Source organism: Homo sapiens, chromosome 15 (assembly GCF_000001405.40).
Source record: "Homo sapiens chromosome 15, GRCh38.p14 Primary Assembly".
Taxonomy (NCBI): Eukaryota; Metazoa; Chordata; class Mammalia; order Primates; family Hominidae; genus Homo; species Homo sapiens.
The window spans coordinates 83,632,790-83,645,724 of NC_000015.10; the positions used below are offsets into that span (position 1 = coordinate 83,632,790).

The window sequence follows — 12,935 nt, forward strand, 5'->3', positions numbered from 1 at the left end:
GATTTGTGTGGGGACACAGACAAACCATATCAGTGACAATAGACTTCTGTACCAAATTTATACAGAATTCTCATAATAAGCAATTTAAAATGGTCAAAAGATTTGGAGAGACACGCCACAAAAGAAGATATAAATGTTCACTAAGCACATGAAAAAGTGTGCAACATCATTAATCAGCATCAGAAAAATGCAAATTAAAATCATAAGTTAACCCTCACACCTACCAAAATGGCAAAAATGGAAAAGATTTACCATACCAAGTATTGGATAGGAAATGGAGTAACTGAAATTTTCGTACACTGCTGGCAATGTAAAATGACACAATGTAAATGGATATGAAAAGGAGGATAGGAAAACCGATGCAAAATACTCAAGGCATTATTGGCAGGTTTTAAGGTGATTTGGTATTACAGAAAATGCAAATATCACTCTGGGCTATGAGAGAACATAGTAAGAAATTAGTAGGATTAGGATGCTAAGCGATTGTAACCCAGTATCCCCATTTTTCTAAGAGAAAGAGAATTAATGTTTTAAAAATTATTATTTTTCTTCTTTTCTCTTTCCTCCTTTTCCCCACTTCCTACTTAACTCTTTATAAATGCAGTTATGACCCTTTACCTTCCCTTCTTCAAACACTCCCTACAGGGCAAGCTATCTAACGATGTGCTTAGAAGCTCCAGAGTAGAAACCTCTTCCACCAGAAGATTGCCTCTAGAGACAAGAGTTAACTTACAACCCATGGTATGCCCGCTATGAAACTCTCTCCCACCTGGAGAATATCTGAAGACAAGGGTCACTTTTATAACCTAGTTCTGACTGCAAAGGCGCCAGTTCAACCACCCAGTGGCACCAAAGCAAGTCATGGGCCCCCCACCTGCTTGCCGTTTCCTCTGTATGCCATTCATGCCAAGTCCCTCCTTTAAAAGCCCCTGCTTTGTGCCTTAGAAGCAAGGTGTTTCCCTTAAATCTGGAAGCCTGTATTTCTCCCCCTAACCTAGCTTTGGAATAAAAGTTACTTTCTTTATACTAGATCTTACTCTTGTTAATTGGACTCTGCAAATGCTGAGCAACTGAACCTGTGTTTCCATTACAGGATGACTCAAACTAGAGGGAAGACAGGCAGATCTGGGCTAGATGTGGGACTGAGAGAAACCTATGCCCTGTATGTATTAACGAGGGTGAAAGTTAAGTTGCTGTAAAAAAAAGATTCAATAATATTCCTACTAAAAGATACAGAACTTCATTTTTCTCTCCTGATACAGGCAATCCAGATATGAGAGCTAAACTGCTTCATGTAGTCATTCAGGCTCTCAGGTTCCTTTCTTCTTACTATTCTCTAAGTTGTTATCATCATCTGCATGGTCAAAGTTGGGTTGCTGTCATATCAACATTTCAGCTAGGGAGAAGAGGAGCAAGTTTATGTACATTCAATGAATTATGCATCATATCTGGAAACAGAATCATCATTTCTACTCACAGTTCATTGGCAAGAACTTAGTTACATCACTACACCTAAATGCAAGTGAGTCTGAGAAATCTAGTTTTACTGGGAAAACAGGTAACCAGCTCAAACTCTATTTCTTTAGAAGAAAGGAATAACAGATTTTGGGGGGCCCCTTGCAGTATCTGCCACACTTTAGATAAAATTCAGAAAGAGAAAGCCAGACTGTCTCTACTGACTGAATAATGGAGGCTGTTGGCAGTCCTAGAATTTTCACTTTTGTAAATTTTACTTCTGTCTTTCTGTAGGTGACTCCACTAGGCTAAATTTGGAGAAATAAATTGGAAACACAAATATGTATTTATCTGTGAACTGAGAGAAGATAGGGCTAGCCTGTAGTTCAGAATAAGAAACAGATACATAGCTCATGCCTAGCTACATGCCTATAGTTTAGAACAAAGAATAGATGATAGATGATAGATAGATGATAGATAGATAGATAGATAGATGATAGATAGATAGATAGATAGATAGATAGATAGATAGATAGATGATAGATAGATAGATCAGAGCAGCCCCAAGGGAAATGCAAGGGCAATGGCAAAGATAGAGAGATAGACAGATTTGGGTTGATAAAATTTTAGAAACTCCAGGAAACCAAAGGCAACCAAACATGATTAGATGAGACCAGAGCCCTCTTGAGAGGTCAAATGATGACATTATTCACGTTGTAAAGCCACAAGCTCTGCCACCAGGATTGCCTGCAACAGGAGAAAGCAGAATTTATAGAAATGGTTAAGACTCCGACTAAAAGAAAAAATATCCTGGTACGAGTTATTCTGTCACCAGGACAATTGCAGAACAATTGGAACTCTGAAAACAGGCAGGCCTGTAACCTTTAGTAGCGATACTCTCCAGAGTCAGGGCAGTCAACTTTTGCTCCAAGACCTGGTCAATAATCTGGGTCTACAGCTGTAGATATTGGTCTAGGGCTTCATCTAGCATGAGTAGATGCTGAACCGTCCACAAGATACCCAGGGAAAAGGTCACAGGCAGCATCTTTAGCCTGGTTCCTGGCACTGGGTTGGCACCCATTGACTTCCAACAAACTATCAGAAAGAAAACTGCACTGTGTGCTCCTGCCTTAAGTCTCTCACAGTTTTACATCCAAAAGTTTGTTGTACAACTTTAATCAAATAATCTTTTTTTTTCAGTCTCTAGAAAGAGTCATGCAAATTTTATCTTTTCTGTAAAATACATCCATGACTTTTTTTTTTTTGAGACAGAGTTTTGCTCTTGTTGCCCAGGCTGGATGGAGTGCAGTGGCGCGATCTCGGCTCACTGCAAACTCCGCCTCCTGGGTTCAAGCGATTCTCCTGCCTCAGACTCCCGAGTAGCTGGGATTACTGGTGTGCACCACCATGCTCAGCTAATTTTTTGTTCTTTTAGTAGAGATGGGGTTTCATCATGTTGGCCAGGCTGGTCTAGAACTCCTGACCTCAGGTGACCCACCCGCCTTAGCCTCCCAAAGTGCAGGGATTATAGGCATGAGCCACTACACCCAGCCAAAATATATCCATGACTTTTTAGATGTCAAAACAATTTTTTAAATTAAAATAGCTTTATTTTTCTAATTATAAAAGTAATACAGGCATATTGTAGAAAAATTCAGAATGCATGTAAAATCATAAGAAGAAAGTGAAAATCACTTTTAATCCCACAACCTCAAAATAATTACTATTATCAACATTTTCATTATATTCTTCCAGTTTTGTCCTTGCATAATTATATTTTATGTATTTATATATATATTCATTCATACAAATGAGACTTCCATATCATAATTTTATCTTTCTATATTAATAACTGTAGACCTAAGTCTTATGGTTTATTGGCTACATGGTATTTTATTGTATGTCTATATCATAACTTATCCAACTAACCTCCTACTGTTACACATTTCCAGTTTTCTTACATTATAGACAAACCAGTAACAATCATCTATACATATAACTTCAATTATTTCCTTATGATACATTTCTAGAAATAGAAAAAAAATGGGTCAAAATGACAAACATATTGAACTTAGATATATTTAAATGTGTATATTAATTAACCTCTTCCATATTATGCTTGAACTTCCTGATGGTTACGTCAGTTTGTATTTCTTATATCAATGTGTGGATATTCATTTGCTTCTAGTCTTATTAATTCTGGGTAAAAATAATTATTGAAATTTGTCCATCTGACAGGTAAAAGGATATACCCCTATTGTTTAATTTGCATTTCTTTGCTTACTAGTGACATTGATCTTTTCATATAGTTATTGGCAATTTTTAGTTCTTACTATATTCGTTGCCTAATTTTCTATTAGCATTTACCTCTGATTAATGAGTTATGTATTACTATCTTTGATCCCTTATCTATTATGTGAATTTAAAATATATTCTCCAGTTTGCCAGTTGCCTTTGTGTGTGTGTGTGTGTGCATACGTGTGTGTGTTGTTTGACTGTTATACCAATATTTTAAAAATGCATATAATCAAATTGATCATTCATTTCCTTCCTATTTTCTAGCATTATTCTCAACTCTAATATTATAAAATCACTGAGCTTTCTACTTCACTTTTTTTCTTTTTGCACACTAATCCTTAACTCATTTGGAATTTATTTTATAGAAATGAAGGAAGTTGATATGTAACATTTCTCACTAAATATCTAGCCAATAATTTACACTTTTTTTCACTGAATTAAAATGTTACCTTTAACACATACTGATTTTTAAAATATATTTAGATATAATTACTTACTCTTTCTGTTTCATTACGTATTTTTTCCTCCCATTCCCTTTATTATTAGTAGCATTGTTGCTTTGGTAAGAACACAATACAAGATCTATTCTTTTAGCAATTTTAAGTGTGCAACACAATATTGTTAACTATAGGCACTACGCTACAGAGTCGATCTCCAGAACTTACTCATCTTGCATAACTGAAAGTTCGCAGCCTTTAACCATCACCTCTCTAGTTCTCCCTTCCACAAGCCCCTGCCAATTACCATTCTACTCTCTGCTTTTATGAATTTGACTATTTTAGATTCTACATATAAGTGAGATCATATAGTATTTGTCTTTTGGTGTCTGGCTTATTTCACTTAACATAATGTTAAGTGAACATTAAGTTAACATAATCCACCCATAGATTTCCTTCTTTTTATGGCTGAATACTATTCCACTATATGCCATATGCCATAGTGTCCTTATCCATTCATCTGTTGATGGACATTTAGGTTGTTTCCATATCTTGGCTATTGTGCATAATGTGATGAGCCTGGGAGTGCAGGTGTCTCTTTGACATTCAGATTTCATATCCTTTGAATGGATATGAAATGGAATTGCTGAATCATATGAGTTTTATTTTTAATTTCGGAGGGAACTTCCATACTGTTTTCCATAGTGGCTGTACTAATTTACGTTCCCAATAAGAGTGTAAAAGAGTTCCTTTTTCTTCACATCCTTGTCAACTTTTGTTATCTCTTGTCTTTTTTTTTTTGTTTTCTGATTTTTTTTAAGAGAGCTGTGGCATGATCATTATTTTTAATTGCACTGTCACTGCATAGCCATCCTAACAGGTGTGAGGTGATATCACATTGTGATTTTGATTTGCATTCCTGATGATTAGTGTTGTTGAGCACCTTTTCTTGTACCTTTTGGCCATTTGCATATCTTCTTTGGAAAAATGTCTATTCAAGTCCTTTGCCCACTTAAAAATCAGATTATTTTTCTGCTTTTAAGTTGTATGAGTTCCTTATATATTTTAGGTGTTAACCCCTTATCCAATATATGGTTTGCAAGTATTTTTTCCCAAATCGTATGTTTTTCATTTTTTTTCTGTGCAAATGTTTTTTAGTTTGATGTAATCTCGCTTGTTTATTTTGCTTTTGTTACCTGTACTTTTGGTGTCATAGCCAAAAAATTCTTGCCAAGACCAATGTCAAGGAACTTTTTCCTATGTTTTCTTTCACAGTTTTAGATCTTACATTTAATTCTTTAATCTATTTTGAGTTGATTTTTATGTATAGTGTAAGGTTAGGGTCCAATTTCATTCTTTTGCTTGTAGATGTACAGTTTTCTCAGCACCATTTGTTAAAGAGACTATCCTTTTCCCATTATGTATTCTTGGTGCCCTTGTCAGAAATTAGTTGGCCATATATGTGTGGGTTTAATTCTGAATTCTCTATTTTGTTTCAGCTTTGTTCTTCTTACTCAAGATTTTTTGGCTATTTGGGGTCTTTTGTGGTTCCATATGAATTTTAGGAGTCTTTTTATATTTCTATGAAAAATTCTACTGGAATTTTGATAGAGGTTGCATTGAATTTGTAGATCACTTTGGATAATACAGACATTTTAACAATATTGATTTTTCTAGTCTGTGAATATGGGTTATCTTTCCATTTATTTGTGTTGACTTTAATTTCTTTCATCAATGTTTTATAGTTTTCAGTGTAGAGATATTTCACCTCCTTAGTTAAATCTATGCCTAAATATTTTATTCATTTTGATACTATTGCAAATGGAATTGTTTTCGTAATTTCTTTTTTTTGATAGATCATCGGTAGTGTATATTATGCAACTGATTTTTGTATGTTGATTTTATATTTCTCTACTGAATTCATTTATTAGTTCTAACAGTGTGTGTAGTCTATGTATAAAATTATGTCATCGGCAAACAAAGACAATTTTACTTCTTATTTTCCAATTTAAATGTCTTTTATTTCTTTTTCTTGCCTAATTGCTCTGGCTGGGACTACCAGTACGATGTTAAATACAAGTGGTGAGAGTGGGCATTCTTGTCTTCTTCCTGATCTTAGAGGAAAAGTTTTCAGCTTTTCACTGTTGAGTATGTTAGCTTTGGGCTTATCATGTATGATTTTTATTACCATATATGATGTGGCACATTCTTTCTATACCTAATTTATTGAGAGTCTTTAGCATTAAAGAATACTGAATTTTGTTAAAATTTTTCTGCATCTACTGAGATGATCATATGATTTTTATCCTTCATTATGTTGAGGCTGTGAGGGCTGTTAGGGTCCTCAGCTGCACCTCTGGGTCCAGTGGCCAGGGGCCAGGGCCAGTGGTGTGCACACGCTATGCTATGATAGCTGGCTGCAGGCACATCTATGACAGCTGAGGCCAGTTGCAGGCTCATCTCATGCATGGTGGCAAGAACTGGGGTAAGAGGAAGGGCCTGGGACCAACTATGAGTGCACAGATGGCAGGGTGGGCTGGCAGATTGCACATGCATAAGTGCAGGGGCCAAGTGCACGCTGGTGAAGGGGGTTAGAGGCTGTCTGTATGTGTGTAGAAGGGTGCATCTGGGAGGCACACTGGATATGTATGTGCACGTACAGCTGCAAGGGCCAGCTGTGGGTGCAAACATAGTAATGGGGGAAAGAGCCAGGGGGCAGGGCCAACTGCTTATGCATGTACAGCTGTGGAGCCAGGGCTGACAGCATGTAGTAACCTGGCTGCAGTGGTTAGCCTAGGGTACACATGGCAGTGGGATAGGGTCCTGTGCTGGGGGTGCCTGGGAGCTGTTTGCAGGCACACATGTAGTAGCTGTGCTGTGTCCCAGGGCCAAATCACCCATGGAGGCAGCAGCTAGTAGAGAATGCAAAGGCCACTAGGGTGAGACCCTGGGCTAGGGGTATCATGGCAGGAGCAGCTCAGGTGGTTTGAGGGAGGGATGATGGAGAGGAGTGGTGGGTCAAGCACCCAGAGACTGCCAAGGCTTTTGGGCTGGATATCCAGATGGAGCCACTGCAGCAGCAACAGTCTTGTGGCTCTAGGTGGCAGCTCAGGTGGCTTCAGGGAGGTGAGAAGGAAAGGAGCGGTGGGTCAGCCATCCACAAACTGCCAAGACTGCTGGGCTTGGTCCCTTGGCCAGGGCAATTGCAGCAGTCTACTATATATCACATTGATTGATTTGCGTATGTTGAACCATTCCACTTGATCATGGTGTATGATTCTTTCAATGGGCAGTTGAATTCAGTTTGCTGGGATTTTGTTGAGGATTTTTGCATCAGTATTAATTAGGAATATTGGCCCATGCTCTCCTTTTCTTGCAGTGTCCTTGGCTGGCCTTGGTAGCAAGGTAATGCTGGCCTCATTGAATGAGTTTGGATGTGTTCCTTCATTTTTAATATTTTAGAAGAGTTTGAGAAGAATGGGAATTAATTCTTTAAAAATGATTGGTAACATTGAAACAATCTGGTCTTGGGCTTTTGTTTTTTTTTGGAAATTTTTGATTACTGATTAAACCTACTTACTCATTACTGGTCTGTTTATATTTTCTCTTTCTTCATGGTTCATTCTTGGTAGGTGTATATTTCTAGGAATTTATCTATTTCTTTTAGGTTATCCAATTTGCTGTCATATAAGTGTTCATCATAGTCTCTTATGATCCTTTGTATTTCTATAATTTCAATAGTAATGTCTCCTTCACGTATAATTTTGTTTGGGTCGTCTCTTTCTTAACTTAGTTAAAGTTTGTCAATTTTGTTTATCTTTTCAAAAAACCAGCTTTTAGTTTTTTTCTTTGTGATTACCATGAGGTTTGCATAAAACATTTTATAGTTGTAATGGCCTATTTTAGTTGAAAACTTAATTTTGATTGCATACAAAATCCTTACACTTTTATTCCCCCAAATTTTATGTTATTAGGGTCACAATTTACAGCTTTTTACATTGTGTAACCATTAACAAATCACTGCATATTTTAATATTTTTGTCTTTTAACCTTATATTAGAGTTAAAAGTGATTTATGCACCACCATTACAATATTAGAATATTCTGAATTTGACATTAAACTTATCCGTGAATTTTATACCTTTATATGTTTTCACAGTGCTGATTAGTGTCCTTTTGTCTCAACTTGAAGAGCTCTTTTTAACACTTCTTATAAAGCAGATCTATTTGTGATAAAGTCTCTCAGCCTTTGCTTGTCTAAGAAGGTCTATCTCTTCTTCATTTTTGAAGGACAATTTTGCCAGGTATAGTATTATTGGTTTGCAGTTTTTTCTTTCAGCAATTTGAAAATATCATCCCACTGTCCCGACCTGCTGAGAATCTGCTTATCATCTTAATGGGGTGGGGGGCGGTTCTATTCTATGTGATGTCACTCTTCTCTTGCTGCTTTCAAAATTCTCAGTTTGTCTTTGACTTTTGACAATCTGATCATAATGTGTCTCAGTGAAGACTTCTTGATGCTCAATTATTTGGAGTTCTTTGGGCCTCATAGATATGGATATTCATTTTCCTCTCCAGATTTGGGGGACATTCTGTCATCTTTTTTTTTCTTTCGTTGGGGAAGATGGAGTCTTACTCTGTCGCCCAGGCTGGAGTGCAGTGGCGCGATCTCGACTCACTGGAATCTCTACCTCCTGGGTTCAAGCAATTCTCCCGCCTCAGCCTCCTGAGTAGCTGGGATAACAGGTGTACACCACCATGCCCAGCTAATTTTTTGTATTTTAGTAGAGACAGGGTTTCATTGTGTTGCCCAGGCTGGTCTCAAACTCCTGAGCTCAGGCAATCCACCCACCTCGGCCTCCCAAAGTGTTAGGATTACAGGCGTGAGCCACCATGCCAAGCCCATTTTCTTTCAATAAGCTTTCCACTCCTTTCTTCTGCCCTGATCCTTCTAGAATTCCTGTAATGCATATATTGATTCATTTGATAATGTCCCATAAATTCTGTCAGTTTTCTTAAGTCTTTCTTTTTGTTCCTTGAACTGGATAATTTTAAATGATCTGTCCTAGAGTCTGCTGATTCTTTCTTCTGCTTGACTGAGTCTACTGTTAAAGCTTTCTATTGAAATTTTCACAAATTTTATTCCTTAGCTCCAGAATTTATGTTTGGTTCTTTTTTTATGATTCCCATCTTATTATTGAACCTCTCATTTTGTTCATGTACTGTTTTCCTGATTTCATTTAGTTGTTTCTCTGTGTACTTTTGTAGATCACTGGGCTTAAGATGATTATTTTCAATTTTTGTCAGGCAATTCATAGATCTACATTTCTCTGGGGTCAGCCACTGAAGCTTTATTTTGTTCCTTTGGTGGTATCATATTTCCTTGATTCTTCATATTCATTGAAGCTTTGCATTGCTATCTTTGCATTTGAAGAAGCAGTCATGTCTTCCAGTCTTTACTTCACCAGTGAGCCTGGCTAAAGATCTTGGGTGTCTCTTATCTGTTTTTTTTTATGGATGTACCCACACTGCTCCTCTTGTGCCCTCTTAGAGGACAAGCCTTAGGATTGTGTATCTTCTCTTCATCCTGCAGAGCTACATTTTGTATTGAAATTCTCCTGTTTATTTTCCCTAGGGCAGTGTCCTGAAATATCAAGATTGTGGCGGTTCACCCAAGCCAGTGAAGTTGAGATGATTGCTAAAAATCCACACCTTCTGTTGAGATCCTTGTGCTGTCTGTGAGAACTCATGCAGGCTGTACACAGGGATGCATACGGTACCATCCCATGGGGAGCTGCATGAGGTGCTCAGGAAGTGTGTTGGCTGGTTCAGGGGAGTCCTCGAGTGAGTCGTCCTGGAGCAGTCTTGGGAGGGCTGCTTGGTAGAATTTATGTGTTAGTTCACAAGATCCATGACTGGCTGTTGAAAACTGTGTGCCAGTTGTTCTGCACTTCCTCCCCTTCTCCTGGCTTCTAGCTGTCCACAGACAATTCAGTCATGCTGATCCCCTTAGTGTTCTAGGTGGGGCAGATAGAAGTGGGCCTCCTAGGCAGCATTTTGCAAGGACGGGGAAGCCGAGCACTGACTTCATTCTCCCTTTCCCCTATGGAAGAAGTCATGGGCCAAGGGGGCCTCTCTTGGCATCAAGCTGTGCCACTTTGGGGGAGCGGTGATGCAGATAAAGTGAAACTGTTTTTATCCTTTTAAATGTGTTTATGCACAGACTATTTGCTCCACCAGGGTGCTGGGACCTCAGCTAGGCTCTGGGGCTCCCCCAAAGTTATTCTCATCTGTGGGCAGTTGCCAAACCCTGTATTCTGTTGGGGGATGAGAGCTGGAACCTCCTATTTTCCCATCTTGCTAACATCACTCTCTCAAGTCTTCTTAAAGCTGTCTTTTCACATTCTTCTCTGCAAAATCCCAGTTATCACAGCAACTATTCCTCTGATCTTCTGATCTCTCAAACTCTACAAACTGCTTTCATCTGCCTGGCTGTTTCTCTTTTTTTCTGGTCTCCTAGATCCTTTCTTCTTTAGGTGATTTCATACATTTTTTAAGTAAGAAATTAATCTGATTCACTCTAATCCCAAGAGAAGAATCATGGCTGACTGAACAACTAAAGAATCACTCTATCTTTAAAGGCAGAAGGAAAAAGCAATATTGCAGACCTGTATTAGTTACTCTCTCTATTTCAATACTTGTTACACTATTTATTTCCAGAGTGCTCTCCCTACCTTCCTGGTAGAGTCGAAGAAGGACACTCACAGTGCACAGCTCTCTTCTGTCATCATGAGAGCCACTGCTGCCAGAGCAATGACCAGGGCTGTATCTCATCAGTCCTCCCTGAGTTGCAGTTCTAGGGATGATCATCTTCCCCAGTTTCCAGCATTCATATGGAATTTTTTTATCTTATCTATTTGATAATTTCAGTGCGGAATGGCTGGTTTGAGTAAAATGTTAATGCTCAAATCATCCTCTGGGATCAGAAGTCTCCACGTGACCTGAAATTTCATGTCAGTATCAGTTTTTTAAAATTTCTTTTCCATTTTCCTTATTTAGGCTTTGCACAACACTGGATAGTTTGTTCTCAATTTTCCTGGCCCCATATATGAATTTGGGGATACTTTTTTCATAAAGTCTTTTGATTTCTTTCTTAGTCTTTAAAGACAACAATAAAAATACACTGCTCTGGAACACATTTGATGAAATAGCATTTACCAATTTCATGGGAAATGCCGAGTAAGTCCCACTCTTGCTTTGATGGTTAACCAGAGACCCAGGCTCAGATTAAATATCAAATTTGCCTTGGAGGAATCAGGGACTTCTGGATGTATCTTTAAAATTGAAGTTCACAATGGAAGAGCAAAAGAACAGAGCTGGGAAAACTTCCTTCAAGCCAGAGCCACTGAGCCATATGAGCAAATGGTGAAAACCCAGGCTGAAATCAAAAGTGGCTCACAATGATTGCATCTTGATTTTGGTTTCTGAGAAAGAGAAATAAATGTTGATATTGTCACTGTTTAGGGGGAATTATACACATATTACTTGCATATTATGTAACATTTAGAAATTCCTTTCCTGGTAGACATATGACTAGATGACAGATGAAGGTAGCTAGCTATTTTTATCTACACCATGAACTTCCATGGTTTCATGCATCAACCATATGTGTTGATGAGTCATCAATATACATCTCCAGCCCAGGCATCTTCCTGGTTCTAGATCTAAAGGCATTTCCAATTCAAAATGCCCCAAGTGAAGCCATCATCTCTGTGTGCCCCCTCCTACCTAACAGATGCCTCCTCCTAGGTACCCTATATCAGTGAATGACACCGAGCTGCCCATTTCACATGTCAGAAATCAAGAAGTCAGCCTTAACTTGTCCTAGTGCCCTACTCTTTAAATCATTCACCACATCTTATCAATTCTACCTTTCTAGCAACTCTCAAATCCATCTATTTTCTTGTATTCCCACTGTCACTCATGCCAGGTTAGGCTATCATGAGCTCTTGCTTATATTACTAGAAACACAGCCAGAGTAATCATTCTGAAGGGCCAGTCTTATTATGTCATTGCTCTGCCAAATATTATCCTAAGCAACCCTTTGCTCTTAAAGCTTGAAACCCGATAGCATGGTATATGTGGCCTTCAATACTTGGCCCCTGCCTACCTCTGTCTACTTACCTTTTTTTTTTTTTTTTTTTTTTTTTGAGACAGAGTCTCGCTCTGTCGCCCAGCCTGGGGTGTAGTGGTGTGATCTTGGCTCTGCCTCCCCAGCTCAAGTGATTCTCATGTCTCAGCCTCCCAAGTAGCTGGGACTATAGGTGCATACTGCCACGCCTGGCCAATTTTTGTATTTTTGTATTTTTGTAGAGACGGGGTTTCACCATGTTGCCCAGGCTGGTCTCGAACTCCTGGACTCAAGTGATCTGCCTGCCTTGGCCTTCCAAAGTGCTGGGATTACAGGCATGAGCCATCGTGTCTGGCCTGTCTACTTACCTCTTGCCAATTCCATTTTCACTTTGTGATTCAAATGCATTAGTATAGACTAGGTTTATGCTGCAGTAACAAATAAAATTTCAGATGCTTAACAGATAAAGTTAATGTCTTATGCATGTGAAAGCTGGCATAGGTTCGCTGACTGCCCATGGTAGCTGTCCTTCATGGGGTGGTTCAGGGAGCCAGGATCCTTTCATCTTGTGGCTCTGCATGCCAACACACACCCTCTGTGTTAACTGCCCAAGG

General features: G+C 38.6%; 1 protein-coding gene across 2 annotated transcripts in view; it reads left to right on the top strand.

Moving 5' to 3' along the window:
* The window catches only part of SH3GL3 (SH3 domain containing GRB2 like 3, endophilin A3), a 186,480-nt gene extending 185,449 nt beyond the window's left edge, over nucleotides 1-1,031 (top strand). Inside the window, exon 11 of one of the 2 annotated variants that reach the window (XR_007064483.1) lies at nucleotides 605-1,031. The gene's annotated coding sequence lies outside the window, so the exon portion shown is untranslated. The remainder of the gene's footprint in view (nucleotides 1-604) is intronic. The other variant, XR_007064484.1, reaches the window with a different exon arrangement.
* The last annotated feature ends 11,904 nt before the right edge of the window (nucleotides 1,032-12,935 follow it).